Genomic DNA, 19,680 nt, shown 5'->3' with positions numbered 1-19,680 from the left:
AGGGACATTTCAGGCTGTGGTGTGTTCAGAGAGCAGGCAGCAGGAGCAAAGCCACATCTTCCTCAAGAAAGCTGGGAGGAGCAAGGTGGGCCCCTCGTCCTGGAGCCTGCAGGGAACTGGAATGCAGGTGGGAGTGGCCGTCGGTGGGCAGGAGGAATTGCAGGCAGGGCCAAGTAAGCCCAGCTGGGAAAGGTTCAGGGCTGTGCGGGGAAGGACCCAGCACTGCAATTTTTTTAAAAGCTTTTAAACAAATGCACATGTAGAACAATTACTTTTACAAATGTAGATTATTCTCTCCCCTTTCTCCTGAGAATCACTGTAAACCACTTAAATTGCTGTTGAGACTATTTTCACTAATCAGAAGGAAACCCTAAGTTTCAATTAATCATAGCCCCATTGTTCACATTTCCCACGTAAGTTTACTAAAAGATCCCGTGAACTCTAGAGGAGGCCTGATTAGGCTTCCCTTTTGAATAAACAAGAATTGAAAAACGAACGTGTGATCCTGGGCTGAAGGGGAAGATGATGTGAGTCTGCAGAACATTTCAGATCACTGCCCTAACAGCACTGACTGGCAGGAATCGGACCTAGGTAGAAAGTCACTCTTCTCCCAGGAGGGTTGAGAGCACCAAAACCACACGTCACAGCAGGGGGTGCACACACCCAAGTTCAGCTTCCCCATCCAGCTAAGCTGGTACACTCCATGTCTGAGTTCTCCTGGCTCTCTGTGCTGACCAGGAAAGCATGTGCGTGCATGCGTGTGTGCGTGCGTGTGTGCGTGCGTAGAAGCCAGGCTGGATAAAAGTGTCTTGCCCCCTCTAGTAGTGGAGCTGGCTATGTGGAGGCTCTGTGGGGGGCAGTGATGAAGAGGAGTGAGCCATCCTTCTGGCATGATCCAGAGAAAGTGCAGCCATTTCCATCACCTGCCCCAGAGTCTAGGTGGGAGGGTCTCTCCAGCCACAGAAGGAGTGGCGGCCAGCCAGCTGGAGGTCACTAGAAAACCACTGGAGCTGGCAAAAGATTTCTGAAAAAGAACTAGCAGATGTGCCTGGTGCACCAGGGGAAAGGGCAGGTGTCAGGAGCCCAGAGGAGGTGAAGAGCTGGCTCCTGCAAGGCTGGGCAGTGGTGAGGCCGTGACTCAAGGGCTGTCAGTCCTGGCGGTACAATGCCAGGGCCAACAGACATTGGGAGTGCCTCTTTGTTCATCTGAACTTTTCTCCTTTTCCTGGTAGGAAAGAAGAACAAAAGCTGCCCCTGCAAAATAGTGCCCTTGGGTGTTCACCTGCTCTGGCTTGGTGATTCCTAGGTAGTAAGCGCTAGCCTTACAGTACTACATCCCCTGGCCTTGCTCTGTATCACGGGACACTACAGCAAAATTGTTTTATAACCGTGTTTTCTAATTCTGCATGTGTATTGTGAGCATGTGTGTGTCTGTGCTTTATACAGGTGCTACACTGTGTGTTTTACAGTAAAATGCAATCGTAGTTCCATTCTTTATGACAGCCTGTGGTGTATCACATGTATTTGTCTATTTCCTAATGCAAATAAAACAAGGCTATCACGTGGAAAGCACTTATAAACTGTGAAGTGCCGTACAAGTGCAAGATACTCTTACCAGCAGCATGATTGTTCCTGAGAGTAGAATTTCTAATAGTAGGCTGAGCATGGTGGCTCACACCTGTAATCCCAGCACTTTGGGAGGCTGAGGTGGACAGATCACTTGAGGTCAGGAGTTCGAGACCAGCCTGGCCAACATGGTGAAACCCCGTCTCTACTAAAAATACAAAAATCAGTCAGGCATGGTGGCATGTGCCCATAATCCTAGCTGTTTGGGAGGCTGAGGCAGAAGAATCGCTTGAACCCGGGAGGCAGAGTTTGCAGTGAGCCGAGAGTGTGCCACTGCACTCCACCCTGAGCAACAGAGTAAAACACTGTCTCCAAAAAAAAAAAAAAAGAATTTCTAAATAATAGAACGTGTGACTCTAGGTCATATATTGTCAGAGACTCTTTCAGAATTAACTGCTGTTGACATTTTGTGGGATCTAGATGAAACTGGAGAAAATATATATAAAGCAGAATGTAGACAGGAAATTGGAAATTTCTCTAAGCTTCTCTCACTCCATAAGTTGTATTCATTAATAAAGCATCTAAGTCACAGTGTAAGAACTTATGCCCAAGAATGTTTAATATTGTTAGCAATCAACAGTTTTGCAGCATTAATGCTAAGTCTGCTTTCTTTTTTTAATCTTTTAACTTTAGTTTTGAAATAGACTTAAAGAAGAATTGCAAACATATTAGAGTTCCTTTATACCCTTCACCCAACTTCAACAAATGTCAACATCTTGCAAACGACGTGACTTTCATCAAAACTAAGAAATGAACATTGGCATTATATTACTAACTAAACTACAGACTTGATTCAGATTTCCCCAATTTTTTACGAGTGCTCTCTTCTGTACAAGATTCGTTTGCATCTGGCCTCCTTTTATTTTTACTAACTCTGTCCTCAGAAAAAGAGATACAGGTGGTCATCTATATAAATTATCTGAATCGTGGTGATACATGCAAACAAAGACATTTTGGCACCCTTTAATACATCCTGAAACTAACCAAGAGCCAGTTATAAATCCAATGTTAAAATAATTATTGGCCAGGCGCGGTGGCTCACACCTGTAATCCCAGCACTTTGGGAGGCCGAGGTGGGCGGATCATGAGGTCAGGAGATCGAGACCATCCTGGCTAACACGGTGAAACCCCACCTCTACTAAAAATACAAAAAATCATCCGGGTATGGTGTCACATGCCTGTAATCCCAGCTACTTGGGAGGCTGTGGCAGGAGAATCACCTGAACCCAGGAGGCAGAGATTGCAGTGAGCCGAGGTCATGCCACTGCACTCCAGCCTGGGCAACAGAGCGAGACTCCATCTCAAAAAATAAAAAAAGTATTTATATTTTGCTAGAGTTAGGGATCTCAACCTTAGTTACACTTTGGAATTACCTGGGACACTTTATAAAATACCAATGCCTGGGACCTACCCCCAGAAATTCCAATTGAATCAGCTTGGGTGTGACCTCAGCTTCTCAGCTGATTCTAGCTTGCAGGCAAATTTGAAAACCCCTGTTCTAGACAGCGGGCATGTTGCAGTATTTCCTGTGCTCTCTCCCTCCAGAGCAAAGAAGAAAAGCTGATTCTACTTCAGCGTTGAATGTTGGGGTCTAGCAACGACTCATCCCAGGGGCCTGTAAAGTTACAGACCATCTCCCTTCTAGCTTCCATTCCTAACAGTAGGAGAACAAGCTTGGAAGTTCAGGTTTAATGTTTCCAGGTGTACAAATAGGGTAACTGAGATTTTCATTTATCAAACACTGGCATCCATCCCTTAGAGAAACTCATTTTTACATTTTTTTTTGAAATATTTCTATTGCTGTTTTAAGACTCAAATTTCATTTTTTTCTTAATTGTGGGCTGAGTGCAGTGGCTCATGCCTATAATTTCAGCAATTTGGGAGTCCAAAGTGGGAGGATCCCTTGAAGCCAGGAGGAGTTCAAGACGAGCCTGGGCAATAGCAAGACCCCCATCTCTACCACAAAACAAAAAAAAAAAAATTGTGGCTCACACCTGTAATACCAACACTTTGGGAGGCTGAGGTGGGCAGATAACTTGAGGTCAGGAGTTCGAGATCACCCTGGCAACATGGCAAAACCCCGTCTCCACTAAAAATACAGAAATTAAATGGGTGTGGTAGTACATGCTTGTAATTCCAGCTACTTAGGAGGCTGACACACGAGCATTGCTTGAACCCAGGAGGTGGAGGTTGCAGTGAGCCAAGATCACGCCACGCACTCCAGCCTGGGTGACAGAGTTAGAATCTGTCTCAAAAAAAAAAAAAATTAAAAATTAGCCAGGCATGGTGGTGCACAGTTGTAGTCCCAACTACTGAGGAGGCTGAGGCAGGAGGATCACTTGAGCCCAGGAGTTCAAGACTGCAGTGAGCTATTATTGCACCACTGCACTCCAGCCCTGGTGACAGAGTGAGACCTCGTCTCAACAACAAAACTAATTAAAATCAAGAAGTAGCTTGTGAGCCAGGGGGTGGGGTGGGAATGGAAGATCCCGTTATCAGAAGCTATAGCCTATAACTAACCAACTTTTAAGCTATTCAGCAGAAACAGTCAAACACACCCAAGTTGAATTAATGATTGTCATAATCTATTTAAATTTTAATTTGAATCTCCTGTCATAAATTTTAAGAATTGCTTGTTAAATGCTGTAAATAAGTATCTTTTGTGATTGATTTTTTGGGGGTTTTTTTTTAAGAAAAAAAAAGCCTTTTAAAAGTGTTTAGAAATATGAGGAAGAAAGAAAAGAAACTTGGTTAGCCATTACTCCAAATTTAAAAGACAAGTATAGTTAGAATTTATTTTCACATACCAATTAATAATATGGGCTGGGCTTGAGACTCACACCTGTAATCCCAACACGTTGGGAGGCTGAGGCGGGAGACTTGCTTGAGCCCAAGTATTGAAGGCTGCAGCAAGCTATGATTGCGCCACTGCTCTCCTGCCTGGGCAACAGAGCAAGACCCCATCTCTTAAAGAAAAAAAAAAGAAAGAAAAGAAAACGAGTAGCTTTTAACCTCTGATTTCATCACACCGCCTTTGAGATTTGAAGTTATATTCCCTTTCCTTCATAAAAGTTTACATACAAAATAAATTTTTGCTTACATTTTACAACACTCACAGACACCCTGCGGCCAGGATGTTAGTTTAAGAACCTAGACAGTAAACAATTAAGGATCTTTTCTTTCAGCAGACTGTATCCTAATTAATTGAATTGCCTGATTGGTGCTGTCTGGGGAGTCTGATTTACCCAAACTATTAAGGTTAAAATGGCCTGGCTGAGCACGGTGGTTCACACCTGTAATCCTAACACTTTGGGAGGCCGAGGTAGGCAGATCACAAGGTCAAGAGATCAAGACCATCCTGGCCAACATGGTGAAACCCCATCTCTACTAAAAATACAAAAAAAAAAAAAAAAAGAATTAGCTGGGTGTGGTGGCAGCCACCTGTAATCCCAACTAGTTGGGAGGCTGAGGCAGGAGAATTGCTTGAACCCGGGAGGCGGGAGATTGCAGTGAGCCAAGATCATGCCACTGAACTCCAGCCTGGCGACAGAGCGAGACTCCGTCTCAACAAAAAAAAGAAATAAAGAAAGAAAGAAAGAAAGAAAAAGTCCTGACTCATTGAAGATGCATCTTTAGAACCACTGCCAGGAAGGCTGGTGCACGGGAGCGAGCTTGGGTCTGTGCTGTCCTCAGGTCCTCGCGTTTGTTTCAACTGTGACTGGCATCAGCTGGGGCCTCTGAAAAGGGTTCAGTCATTCAGCATTCCTGGCCACAAGCTTATCTACAATTTAAAAATAAACAAAATAGAAAAGCAATTTTCCAGTGGCAGAAGAAACAACCACAAGACACAGCTCTGGGAAAGCAATTTATTTGGAAATAGGTTTGGGATTTCCACGTATTATCTGCTGGACAGTGAGAGAGGAGAAAGTCAGTGGCTGCAGCCTCCGTGCCTGGCTTGTAATAACTGCTTCTGGGAACGCGGCATTCGGTGTTCATTACCACCTCTCAGACGACCCATGCTGTGTTGTCGGAAACAACGGCAAACATACAACAGTACCTTATATTTAGTGACCAGAGAAGTGCTTGAGCATAGCTCTTTCTGTGTGCAGCTAAGATAAACAAAAAGAACGGTGCCCTCCAAGGAAAGCTTAGGGATGCGGCTTTCTCCCTCCTTTCCTTCCCAATGCAAATGACCGGAGGGAGCTGGGAACCTGGCACAGGTGAGCGGAGTGAATTCTTAATATGGAGACTGTTTGCTTAGGATGGGAGCTGTGTCTACACAGCAGTCCCTGAACCTACAAGAATATGGATCTGTGGGGCATATTGTGAAGCTGCTGTATTCATTCTCTTAACAAATATTTATTTAGCATCTGCTCTTAACCACTGGAGATCCAGAAAGCACTGGCCCTTGACTCCTTGTTGAGCTTGTGTTTGTAGATTAGGAAGTGATTCACAAAACGTGGTGTAGAAGCGCTAGAAAAGAAAATTGGGGGCTGGGTATGGTAGCTCATGCCTGCCATCCCAGTGCTTTGGGAGGCTGAGGTGGGAAGATTGCTTGAGGCCAGAAGTTTGAGGCCAACCTGGGCATCACAGCAAAACCTCTACTTTACAAAAAAAAAAATTTGTTTAATTAGCCAGGAGTGGTGGTGTGCACCTGTAGTCCCAGCTATTCAGGAGTCTGAGATGGGAAGATCACTTGAGCCCAGGGGTTCAAGGCTGCAGCGAGCTATGACTGCACCATTGCACTCCAGCCTGGGCAACAGAAAGAGACTCTGTCTCTAAAAAATAAAACATTTTTAAAAAGAAAATTTGGAATAGGCTTACTAAAACATAGTGGAGACAACAATTTATCCTGGGCTGGAGAGCCCATGATTTAGTAATCTGGTTTCCCCAGTATATACCCTACTTTAACCTTCCTGTATTATTAAAGGTTTATAGTGAAATCAGTATCACTGGTCTGTCCCTTTTTTTTTTTTTTTTGAGATGGAATCTTGTTGTGTCACCCAGGCTGGGGTGCAGTGGTGCCATCTCGGCTCACTGCAAACTCTGTCTCCCAGGTTCAAGTGATTCTCATGCCTCAGCCTCCTAAGTAGCTGAGATTACAGGCATCCGCCACCACACCCAGCTAATTTTTTGTATTTTTAGTAGAGACGGGGTTTCACCATGTTAGCCAGGCTGGTCTCGAACTCCTGGCTTCAGGTAATCAGCGCACCTTGACCTCCCAAAGTGCCTGGTCTGTCCTTGATGAACACACATACTATAAGACAAGGATACTAAATATATCAACATTCTTCCATTTGAAGAGCTCCTCTCCTCCCCTCCATCCAGCAACATCTATAAGCATTTCATACACTTGGCCACGTGTGGTGACTAACACCTGTAATCCCAGCACTTTGGAAGGCTGAAGTAGGAGGATTGCTTGAAGCCAGGAGTTTGAGACCAGCCCGGACAACAAAGCGAGACACTGTCTCTACCAAAAAAACAAAAACAAAAAAAACCTTTTTTTTTAATTACCCAAGTGCAATGGTATGTGCCAGTAGTTCCAGCTATTCCAGAGGCTGAGGCAGAAGGATCGCTTGAGCCCAGCAGTTCAAGGCTGCAGTGAGCTATGATTGCACCACTGCACTCCAGCCTGGGCAACAGAGTGAGACCCTGTCTCTAAATAGATAAACATATAAGAACTTCATCTCTTGCTTTGGATTTCTGTAGAAACTCATTCCATATGAAATTGCCTGTCTACAATAAAAACATCTAGAAGCTGTGCAGTGTCATTCTCCCCCTGGGTCTGGAAAGTGACGGATTCAGATAGACTTATCACACACCTCCACCCACCAGTAACTATAAACAAAGCTCTCCCTGAGGCCATCTCTATTGAAGGTGCCAACACTTGAACCAAAAATCTATTTGTTTTATATGTAGAAGCTAAAAGCAATATCTTAAATGAATGCGTCCAATTTCTATTGCCTGGAAGCAATTGCATATTTATTACTGACCTGACAGTTTGACCTACTGCAACCATAAACCAAATGAGCGTTATCTTGCTCAGCTTTAAAGATAGTTATCAGTCACATAATAACAAAAATACTCTGAGTGGCTGCTGGGATGCTTTTTTTTTTTTTTTTTTTGCATTATTATTGGCAAAGGCAATGAAGTGCATTCTCAAATGAAAAATCAATGAGAATCATGAAAACCAAGCTATAAGGCATCTCTTAGTTAAACTGTATTAAGGAAATGCTTCTTTATGACTTTTCGTCCCATTCCATCCTAATGCAAAAGAAACATAAAAGGTTTGAGGGAGGCACTTGATGTCAGGACTGTAAAAGGTTAAATAGGAAAGCAAAAGCCTTTAGCAGTGTGGAATTCTTGACCCTGTAGAGTACAGGAAGTGTGACTTAGAGATGAGCAGAAAACAACATTGTAACAAGTGCTCCAGCCAAAAGTGGTGGCCCCAGAATTATGGTTTCCAGTTTGCTTTTTAATCCATCTTTCAGTTTTTGCCCAAATAGTGGGCAGTTTTCATCAGGGTCTTGGATAAGTCACATGTCCCTTCAGTCTGCCTTTATAAGCAGCCTTCATTGAGAGACTTCTACAAGCCTTTAAAGTGGAGGCAGCTGACCTCCTTCCTTCAGAGAATCCGAGGACTCCAGGTTTGGGAAAGTCTGCCTCTCCATTAGCCACTGGAGCTACGCAAGGCCATGCATCGTGATCCCCTCATGGGATTGGAGTGGACGAGTTCAAGCAGGGGAAGTGGAGGAAGGAAATTCATTTGTCCTCAGAGGCCAACTATTCCATGTAGGATCATATAGGTGTCATTCCAGCTTCCATGTTCTCTTTGCTTCCTGACCATTTTTTTTTTGAGACAGGGCCCCACTCTGTTGTCAGTGAGACAGGGCCCCACTCTGTTGTCAGGCTGAAGTGCAGCGGTGCAATCTCGGCTCACTGCAACCTCTGCCTTCCAGGTTCAAGCGATTCTCCTGCCTCAGCCTCCCAAGAAGCTGGGACTACAGGCACGTGCCACCACACCTGGCTAGTTTTTGTATTTTTGGTAGAGACGGGGTTTCAGCATGTTGGCCAGGATGGTCTCGATCTCCTGACCTCGTGATCCACCTGCCATGGCCTCCCAAAGTGCTGGGATTACAGGCATGAGCCACTGTACCTGGCCCATTTTCTTACTTTCCTTTCTAGTCTATTTAATTGCTTGATAAATGTTAAACCAATAGATGGCCGGGAACAAAGGAATTGCCAGTCAGATTCATGGCTTAAAAAGTCATTCTTTTAGACAGTTTAATGTGGGGAATAAAGTTTTCTAGAGGGGGAATCCATCTGTCTGTTTGTCCTCTGTGGATGAAGAAGAATTGGCAGTGCGTAAACCCAACAGACTGGAATCCAAATGACATCTGTCTGTGTCCCTTCATGCGACATGTCCCCACCTTGAAGTTCATCACATGTGAATGGTGACCCCCAGGGACCTAAGTCTAATCTCTTGCAGTGTGTGTGGTCACTCATATGCCAGTGGAGTGGTATGAGGATATCTCAAGCCTGGACCATTGACTAATCTTGAATATTCCACAAATGGAATATTCTCTCTCTCTCTCTCAGGTCCTCCTTATTCTTTGAGCTGGTGGCCAGAGAAAAATCACTGTATTTTTGTATCATTCCAGTCTGTGGGTGATTGAAAGCCTTGTCTTGTGAGAATAATGAAAAGGTTATTCCCATCAGACTGTTTATCATAAAATATGGTAAGACAAAAGATGAATATTTAAGCCTACATTGTCATTGGATGGCTTGCTCTTGCAGGCAGTCATTCAAATCAATGAGCAAATACTTCTTTTGAGCACCTAACAGTTGCTATACACTGTGCTAGGTTTTGGGGGATAATTTCTGTAAATGTTGAAAACTGATCGTTGAGAGATAGGTCATGTTTTTTGTTTGTTTGTTTTGTTTTTTGAGATGGAGTCTCGCTCTGTCACCCAGGCTGGAGTGCAGTAGTGCCATCTCAGCTCACTGCAACCTCTGCCTCCTGGATTCAAGCAATTCTTCTGCCTCAGCCTCCTGAGTAGCTGGGATTACAGGCATGTGCCACCACGCCTGGCTAATTTTTGTATTTTTTTTTAGTAGAGATGGGGTTTCACCATGTTGGTCAGGCTGGTCTCGAACTCCTGACCTCGTGATCCGCCTGCCTCAGCCTCCCAAAGTGCTGGGATTTCAGGTGTGAGCTACCTCACCCAGCCTAGGTCATATTTTTTAAAAATAACTAATTGTACAAGATTATGCCAAATGCCTTGAAGATGACACACACCAGAAGCCCTGGAGAAGTTTGAAAGAAACCCCAGACTTAGGCAATCAAGGAAGACTTCACTGAAAGTAAGACTTGAACTCAGCCTTGCACAATGGCTAAACATTCAGATAAAGGGATGGAGAGACAGTTCTCCAGTTCCAAGGAGGAGAGGCAGCATGAGTGAAGGCCAGGCGCATGCCATACACATGGTGTACTCGCAGGAGGCTGAGCCCCAAGAGAAGACCCACAGAGTTGGGGGCATTTTCAGAGGCAGGAAGGAAGTGGTTGCAGCTTAAGATAATTTGTCTGACACCTTCCAGTTGACCAGACATGCACACTTTCTCCTCATGAGGTAGATCTCGTGGCATTTTCCAGATATAGAAAGTCAACTGGTGCTGGGCACAGTCATTCACCTCTGTCATCCCAGGACTTTGGGAGGCCGAGGCAGGTGGATTGCCTGAGTTCAGGAGTTTGTGACCAGCCTGGGCAACACGGTGAAACCCTGTCTCTACTAAAATACAAAAAAATAGCTGGGCATGGCGGCCTGCGCCTGTAGTCCCAGCTACTCAGGAGGCTGAGGCAGGAGAATTACTTGAACCCGGAGGGCGGAGGTTGCAATGAGACTAGATCACACCACTGCACTCCAGCCTGGGCAACAGAGCAAGACTCCATCTAAAAAATAAAAATAAATTTTAAAAAGTCAGCTGGGGAAAATGAATGCATAGAGAGCAAGTTCTGTAGACTGGGAAGTGCAGAAATGGGTGAGCCCCTAGGGTGGGTGCTGTAAGGGTCGGAGGAGGACCCCCCCATCCCACCCGGTGTGTGGTGTGGGAAGACTTTCTGGAGCGGAGACGTGAGAGCTGAGTCCTGCGGGATGGGCCGGACCTCACTGGGGAAGAAGGAAGGGAAAGGCCTACTGGGACGAAGGAACAGCATGAGCTAAGGAACAGAAGTTTGAAATATCATGGAACCTGTGGGGCATTATCAGGCATGGGCAGAGATGACATTGGCACCCAGGCCTTCTGTTTCCTGATCTTGTGTTCTAGTCAGAACAGAATTTATCCCAGCTTTCTGGAAGAAGTTGCTCCTGTTATTTTACTTACAATACTCTCTTCCATTTATTTATTTATTTATGAGACGGAGTCTCGCTCTGTCACCCAGGCTGGAGTGCGGTGGCGCCATCTCGGCTCACTGCAAGCTCCACCTCCCAGGTTCATGCCATTCTCCTGCTTCAGCCTCCTGAGTAGCTGGGACTACAGGCGCCTGCCACTATGCCCGGCTAATTTTTCGTATTTTTTAGTAGAGACAGGGTTTCACCGTGTTAGCCAGGATGGTCTCCATCTCCTGACCTCGTGATCTGTCTGCCTTGGCCTCCCAAAGTGTGGGGATTACAGGCGTACAGGCGTGAGCCACCACGCCCGTCCTATTTATTTATTTTTTCTTGAGACAGAGTCTCTGTCGCCTAGGCTAGAGTGCAATGGCGCGATCTCAGCTCACTGCAACCTCCATCTCCCGGGTTCAAGCGATTCTCCTACCTCAGCCTCCCGAGTAGCTGGGATTATAGGCACCTGCCACCAGGTCCAGCTAATTTTTTGTATTTTTAGTAGAGACAGGGTTTCACCATGTTGGCCAGGCTGATACCAAACTCCAGACCTCAAGTGATCCGCTCGCCTTCGCCTCCCAAAGTGCTGGGATTACAGGCGTGAGCCACTGCGCCCAACCCTTTCATTATTTTTTTTTTACTTTTCCTATATTCAGAGCAAGGTAATAAAAAGATAAAGTTAATGGAATTTTTTTATCCAACTGGAGATTCTTAGAAAGAGGAAAAACAGGCCAAAGTTCTTCAGGTGGTCACTATTCTAAGGCAGATCCAAAAGTCTTCCGTATAGCCACAGGTATGGGCTTTGTGGAGGGGGATTTTTTTTTTTTTTTCTTGTGCGAAAGGTGCAGTTTGAGTGAAGCCTCAAAAAGGGGTTGGAAGTCACTTGTGTGTTTTCTCTCTTTCCTTTGTTGGAGGTTTAAGCATGTGCTGAGAGGAACAAGCGTTTTTAGACAATGATGCAGACAGATTTTGTTTCTCATTATCCACAGTCTTGCACACATGCCACACAGCATTAGCTACGGGGGAAATGCAGTGGGGTCAGTTGGGTCTGTTCCATGTGACTTTACTCCATAAAGTGATTATAGGACTGTCTTCTCCAGGATGATGGGCTGACATTGGATACAGAGAGGAGGGAAAGGAAAGAGAGGATTCTTCAGCTTGGTTGTTCCATGGCTTTGCCCCACTCTTCCAAGACCAGCCTCCGAGACATGGCCCCCAGGGCTCTCCCTAGCCTCATGGCTTTCCACTCACAGGACACTAAGACGCTGGGGTCCTCCCTCACCCCGGGGCCTTTGCACGGGCTGGTCTTTCTGCCTGGAAAGTGGTTCCCCTCTGAGGATCTCTTGCCTCAGCCTTCCAAAGTGCTGGGATTAAAGGCATGAGCCACTGCCCCTGGCGGTAAGTTTAACGTTTTCAGACACTGTGTGTGATTTGCTTTTCACTCCAGCAAGATGTCGTGAGGATTGCTAACATGTTTTCAAGTGTGCTTTCAGTCCTTCAGGAAAAAAGGCACCTGGGAGTGTGGTGGAAAGGCGGTTCAGGACAAGAAGGAGAGTTCTGATTACATTTTCGTTTCAGTGTTTCCCTGGGAAACAGCAGGTCTCAATCCCTTCACTTTCCAGTTCCTATTCTTCCCCTCACACCACACAGTATCCACTGCTGACTCGGTATCCCCTACCTAATCCCACTGGGTTCTTCAATACTGAAAAGCTAGTAATAAGGTGAAGGTGGCCGGGCACAGTGGCTCACGCCTGTAATCCCAGCACTTTGGGAGGCCGAGGTGGGCGGATCACCTGAGGTCAGGAGTTTGAGACCAGCCTGACCAACATGGTGAAACCCCGTCTCTACCAAAAATACAAAAATTAGCCGGGCATGGTGGCTCATGCTTGTAGTCCCAGCTACTCAGGAGGCTGAGGCAGGGAATCGCTTAAACCCAGGAGGCAGAGGATGCAGTGAGCCAAGATCATGCCACTGCACTCCAGCCTGGGTCACAGAGCAAGACTTAGTCTCAAAAAAATAAAAACTAAAAAAAAATTAAAAATAAGGTGAAGGTTCAAATTTATCTACGATCCAGCACGTTCTGCTTCATATATACCTTCAACCCCAAAAAAACTTCTGCAAAATGCAAACCCCTAACCAATTTGTCTCTATTTTCTTCAGGGGACACTTAAACTGGCTTCAGCTAGATCGAAGAGTATTGGAACATGACTTCCCTAAAAAGTCAGGACCCGTGGTTTTATACTTTTGTGTCAGGTATGTACACCTGGTGTCTATACTTTTGCTTCTTTGTGTTCTTTATCAGGGAAGTCTGGGAGGGCAGAGTGATTCCAAGGAAAGAGAGCTCAAGTTTGTCTTGGTTCATTGCCAGGGATAAAGGTTGTAGTAGAGCTGCATGCCTCATAGATGGAAAGGCGGGGTGCGAGGGTGCAGGGTGTGCCTGTGAGTGTGCAAGGATGTGTGTATTATGCATTTGCACTAGGATGCTTGTGTGGAATGATGAGAAAAACTTTTTTCTGCACTTTTGGGGAGGGTCACATATCTCAAACAATGAGTATCTTATAGCACAGGCCGTGGGATTCTTTTCTGGGGGCAATTTGAAACTACATAACAAAAGCCTTTGTATTCTTTCCTTTTAGAGGGGATGCCACTTGAATCTCGTGAAACCTGGGTAGTTTATCCCAAATAGGAGTGGTCGAAACCCAGCAGCAAACCACAGGCCCATCTGCATTTCCTGCCAAGGGAGGATACAGCTTAATAACATTTCAGAAACAATAGGCATTTTTCTGTTCAGAAATCTAGTCTAAGAAATTTTGTTTTGTGCTTGCAAAGGGAACGATTTGTGGGCTATAGTGATTTAAATAGTTAATATTTGCAGCTGTCTTATGAAGACAACAGGACTTACCACTTCCGTTTGCAAAAGGTTGTGAGAAGCCAGAGGCTGGGCAGGTCAGGGGTTCAGGGGCAAAGTCTGAATTGGTGGCAAAGTCAGAATCTGAGCCCCCAGTCCAGCAGCTCCGAAACACCCAGTCTATGGAGGCACCAGGTTCTTTCTGTCCAGAACCTTGATTGCAACACAATTACAGAAGCATTAAGTGCTGATGCCTCAGTCTTTACATGGACACTAACACTTACACCCATGCCATACAACTCTGTTCTTTGAAATATACTAACAGAAATTCAGGAGCGAGATACAAATGATATGCAATTCTGTCATTCCTAAAGAGCATGATCAGGAATGCAGTTCCAGACATAGGCATCCTTAAGCCACACAAGGCATTAGAAGGGCTTCAAACAAGAGTTAAAGGGTCCACTTAACAGGCTCGAGTGTATGACTTTTCCTCAGCTGGCAGAGTAAATTTCAACTTGCGCTTAATGCGTTTTTGATTTGTTTAACAGCTGTGAACATATCCAAGCTCATCTTAGCTATTTCCATTACTGATGGGGATGATTTCAATGCCATATTCTCTTTAATGGTGTATACAGTTTCTCAGATTTATGGCAAAGCAACCATATAAAGCAAATAGTAACAATTCCTCTGGGAGGGGCAGGTGGTATCAGGCAGGACTCCAGTTGCATGGAAGCAGGTCATTAACCTGTCATCGCAGGTGGATGAGTGCATTTACCATATATCAGGCTCTCCCCACCTCCCTGGTGATGTTCACCAACATTAGCCAAGAGGAGAAAATCCTGGGCTTGGCTGCCTAGTAGGTGTTTTTTCCAAGTGTCTGAATTATTTGTGGACGTCCTTGCAGGAGAGCTTGGGGCACCTTGACGTTGGTGGTGGAAGTGTCAGTCTCTAAGATACACAGATCTTTCCAAATCACTGCAAGCCTGTCTTCTATGCATAAAAGCAGGTAACCTAGCATTGCAGAGGTTAAATAGGTGCTAGCAATAGAGAGAATTGGGGAATGGGATGACTGAAGACCCAGATGTAACATCCACTTCTGATCCGTAGCCATAATAGACGCTTCCACCATCACCATTGATGGTCGGCCAAAGCAAGAACCTCAAAGAACACTCCTTAGAGAGAAGAATTTCCAAATCCGCATTTAGGGACAGCCATTCTCCACTATGTCTTTATACACGCCATCTGGCAGAATGTGCTCCTTCTCCAGCTCCTATGGAAGCAGATCTTTCTGGAAGTGTCACATTCCACTTGTTTCCTGCAGAGCCCCACCTGAGTACTTCAAACTCAGCAGGTCCAAAGCCAAATTTATTATCTTCTCTCTCCTCCCTTGACCTTCCATGGTCCCATCAAGTCTGTGGCATCGTCATCCACTCAGTCACATAGGCTACACATCTTGAAGTCTTCTGTCTTCTTCCTGGAATTTTTTAATTTTTTTTTTTTTTTTTTTTTGAGACGGATTCTCGCTCTGGCACCCAGGCTGGAGTGTAATGGCATGATCTCGGCTCACTGCGACCTCCACCTCCCAAGTTCAAGAGATTCTCCTGCCTCAGCCTCCTGAGCAGCTGGGATTATAGGCACCCACCACCATACCCAGCTAATTTTTGTATTTTTAGTAGAGACCGTGTTTCACCATGTTGGTCAGGCTGGTCTGGAATTCCTGACCTCAGGTGATCCATCCGCCTCGGCCTCCCAACCTAGAATTTTTATGTGCATTAATTCTCTGCTGCTGCTTCCAAAATCTCCCTCTGTACTGCCCTCTCCTCCTTATTACCTGAACTCAGGCCCTCACCAGTCAGTCGACCTATTGAAGCAGCCTCCAAGGGTGGGGTGGGGCTCATCACCAGGGTCCCAGCCACAGAGGATCCCAGCACCCTCACTACCCTGAGTTCCCACTTCTTAGCTGGCCAAGAAGTGCAGTAACAAAACACCAATCATTTGTTTTCTCTAAGAGAGGAGGCAGATTCTCTATATAGGTGAATTCCGTCTCTTTACCTTGCTTTTCATCCTGGGAAGAATCCTCTATTTATAACCTGACATCTGCCTAGGGATGCTCACAGGCAGTTTTCTCCAAAGGAGTGGTAAGAGAATCATCTTCATCAAAAGCCCAGAACTTGAAATAGGCTTGAGTCCATAAAAGAACTTCTGTCCAGCTGGGTACCTTTCCAGTGTGTTTCTAAACAGAAGCACGGTTGGGCTCTGAGCAGCCTCCCCACTCCAGCCATGGCACCTGCATATCTTGACGCAGCCTGACTCCCAGATTCCTCAAATCCTTTCTCCTTTGGTGTAAATGTCTATATATTACATCTACATACCACATGTCTAGGTAGCCTTCGTTGGCAAAGCAGAATCGAGCCACCTGATAAAAGAGGGCCATGGTAGGCTGGGCATGGTGGTTCATGCCTGTACTTTCGGAGGGCAAGGTGGGTGGATCATCTGAAGTTAGGAGGTTGAGACCAGCCCGGCCAACATGGTGAAACCCCATCTCTACTAAAAATACAAAAATTAGCTAGGAATGATGGTGCATGCCTGTAATCCCAGCTACTTGGGAGGCTGAGGCAGGAGAATCACTTGAACCAGGGAGGCAGAGATCACAGTGAGCAGAGATTGTGCCACTGCACTCCAGCCTAGGCAACAGAGCAAGACCCCATCTCACAAAAAAAAAAAAAAAGAAACAGAGGGTCATGGAAAAGATAACTAACTACCTGAAGGTACATTTTAGAAAGTCAGAGAATGGAGGTACTAACACTGCATGGCTGAGTAACCCAGGTTGGGCTATTATTTGGGATTTATATATTCTTCTGATATAATACATATGCAAAACACCAGGCAGAATCATCACCTCCATTCAACAGATTAGGAAAATATAAGACCCAAATATATTAAATAACATGAATTGGAACTCAGAACCCCTCTCCATCCACGAAGCCAGATAGCATCTCCTCTATAAGCATTTCCTCTGCAGAGGCCCTGAGGCAAGTATCAGGCTGCAGGAGGTTTTGGGGACAGTGGAAGGGAGGACTCAGATCCTGCCTTCATTGACCCATCATTCAGCCTAAGAGGGGCCTGGTCCATCCAGTTTTTCAACCAGCAAATCACCAGGAATGATCCCAGGTGGCTTCAGGGTCTTAATAATTACCCAAAAAGGATAAAGACTGGAGAGGCGGGAACTATCCATTATTCAGCACCTGTCCATTGCTAAGGCTGATTGTTAATCTTTGCAGCAACCCTGGAAGCAGGTCTGATTATTCCGAATTAAAAAGAAGGAGATGGGGGCCCAGGATGGTCCATAAATTCTTCCCCAGCATGGCTAATAAGTTACGAAGGCGAGATGAGGTCTCATCTGTTCGGTCAGGTCTGACTCCAATCCTTGTGTCTGTCCTCCCCTACTGCATGCTGTCTGTCTCCACAGGGGAAAAGTAACATCCTCCTCCAATGTGGCATTTCCAAGAGATCCTGTGTATCCCTTCAGTGTGGCAGCCTGCCAAGACCTGTGGCCAGAGGTCTCCACTGTTCCCTGTATAGGCAGGGCCAGGAGCAGCGAAGTCAAATGCGGCGACCCCAGCCCTCTTTGTGACCCACGCTTGGCCATGTTTGCAGAACCAGCATCCTCCTGCAAAGATGGTGTTCAGGACAAGTGCACACCACCATGAGTGACAGAGCCACCGCCAGGCCTGCCAGCCTGGTTCCAGCACTACCCAACCCAGAGCTCCCCTGGCAGAGTGCCCCTGCACAGGGACAATCACAGTCACAGGTCTTGGCAGGCTGCCACTCTGAAGGGATACACTGGATATCTTGGAAATACCACACTGGAGGAGGAAGAGCCATCTCAAATGGTAAAGCAAGAATTTTCAGGACCTCAGACATCTGCTGTTGGTCTCACTTGAGAAGGTCTTGCCATTTTCTGCATTATCTGACACTGTGGAGACCCGCCGGAAGGTATTCTTTGAACTGTGCTTTTCTGTCTCCTAGAAAGAAAACTTCAGGGTCCACTTGCACCTGGTCATCACCCTGAGCTGTGTCACTCCCGAGACTTACAAGCCCAAATCCACCATCATCCCAGCTGTAGCATGCAGCAGCCTGCTCACTGCTCCTCCTGGGCTGTTTCTGCATCATCATCCATGCCTTCATTTATGGGCTCACAGATGTCCCTTGGCATAAGCACTGCTCTAGGAGCCAAGGACAGAGCAGCGAACAAAACTGATAAACCCTGTTCTCAGGCAATTTCGCGTCCATTTCCTCCAGCTTCTGAGATCCTATCAGCCCTGCCTGTCCTATTTTTTGGCCAATTCAGTGCAAATCCATTGTGCACCCTTCCAACTACTTCCTGACCCTGGACCACACCTCCCTTTGCTGCTCACACTTTCTCTCTCTCTCCCTTTCTCTCACACACACACCCACCCGCAGGGTTGGACTGGTCCTGCCACACACACACACACACCTTTTATTTCTACCCCCGAGCTTCTGAGTGTGTTCAGGAAAATGTTCATGCAACTTCAGGTTGGTTCATGGTTATTGTGATGAACCCCACACAGATCATCATATCTCTAGCCAGTTCTGCCAGGGGTGCCTGCTCAGGGTCTCTGTTCCCCACTGTGGTTTTACCTCTTGCTTCAGGTCCCAGATACTCAAGGCTTTTGCTCTAAGAAGATGTTGCTGCTTATGTTTCTGCAGAGAAAATAAAAGCCAGCACCAGGGAGCTCCTAGTCCTACTTCTTTATCCACAAACTTAATTGTATCTTTAATTGTGTTTTTGTGGCTTCTCAGTCCACTCACTGCACACACGCAAATGCATGAGCGTCTCAGAGGAAGACCCTTAGCCCATCATCCAGCACGCACTGATCCACGTGTACCTCAATCCCAGTCCCTTCTGTCACCTCACAGAGCTTCTCCCTCGAGCCTTTCCTCTCTTTTTCTCTATCTTCTCCTCCATGGATTCCTCCCCTTTGTGACCACGTCCCAATCTAACTGAAGAAAACGTCCTCTGTGATGCACAGCCTCCTCCAGCCAGTGCCCTCTGCTACCCCTTCTGCTCTGCTCACAGCAACCGCCGAGAGATGGGTCTGCACTTGCTGTCACCCCCTCCCCACAGGCCTCTCGTTCCTCATTCTGTGGTCGTCCAGCTTCTGGTGCCATCGTACCCCCTGGTCACTGGAGGTCTCTCGCCCCTAGCTCCACAGGCGTGCTTCTGCCCTGCTCCCATGTGGCTTCTGTGGCTCTGGGCTCATTCGAACATGCTCCCTTTCAGTTCCCCCGGCTCTGTGGCACTACACTCTCCTGGGCCACCTCCTCTTTGTCCCCTCTGTCCCTGGCTCGGGGCAGGTTCCCTGCTCTGCTCTGCTGTCCCTTGAGCCCTGGTGTCCACGAGGTCGTGTCTTGCTTGTCTTCTCTCCCTGCACCTTCCCCTGGTGTGATTTCACCCCCATCCACAGCTGCCACTGCAGTCTCTTTGCTGGAGACTCTCCGTCCTCTGCCCCAGTCCTGACCTCTCTCCCGAGCTCCAGGCCATCTCCACTGACTGGCATTTCCTCACAGATGCAGCTGGAATCTAATGATGTCGTCGTCTTTCTGCATCCAAATGTGCTCCCCTTTCGTTGTCACCTCCTTGTCTTTGTGATGGGCACCATCACCCCTGCAGCCCCCAAAACCAGAGACTTGGGAGTCAACCTTGACCTCACCGCTCCCTCCCGCTTGCCTCCTCCTGTTCCCTCAGTCACTACTCGCTGTTATTCCTGCATCTTAAACAGCTCCCTATCCATCTCTTACTCT

At 46.5% G+C, this 19,680-nt stretch overlaps 1 protein-coding gene across 3 annotated transcripts in view; it reads left to right on the top strand.

The window, feature by feature from the left end:
* Positions 1–19,680, top strand: part of FRMD4A (FERM domain containing 4A) — a 687,219-nt gene that overhangs the window by 521,170 nt on the left and 146,369 nt on the right. For all 3 annotated transcript variants that reach the window (NM_018027.5, NM_001318336.2, NM_001318337.2), the window contains one exon: positions 13,167–13,259. In NM_018027.5, coding sequence (NP_060497.3) covers positions 13,167–13,259 — 93 coding nt within the window. The remainder of the gene's footprint in view (positions 1–13,166; positions 13,260–19,680) is intronic.

The sequence above is a fragment of the Homo sapiens genome, chromosome 10, assembly GCF_000001405.40.
Source record: "Homo sapiens chromosome 10, GRCh38.p14 Primary Assembly".
Classification (NCBI taxonomy): domain Eukaryota; kingdom Metazoa; phylum Chordata; class Mammalia; order Primates; family Hominidae; genus Homo; species Homo sapiens.
The sequence above is the reverse complement of the archived record's forward strand: the minus strand, read 5'-3'. Positions and strand labels throughout refer to the sequence as shown.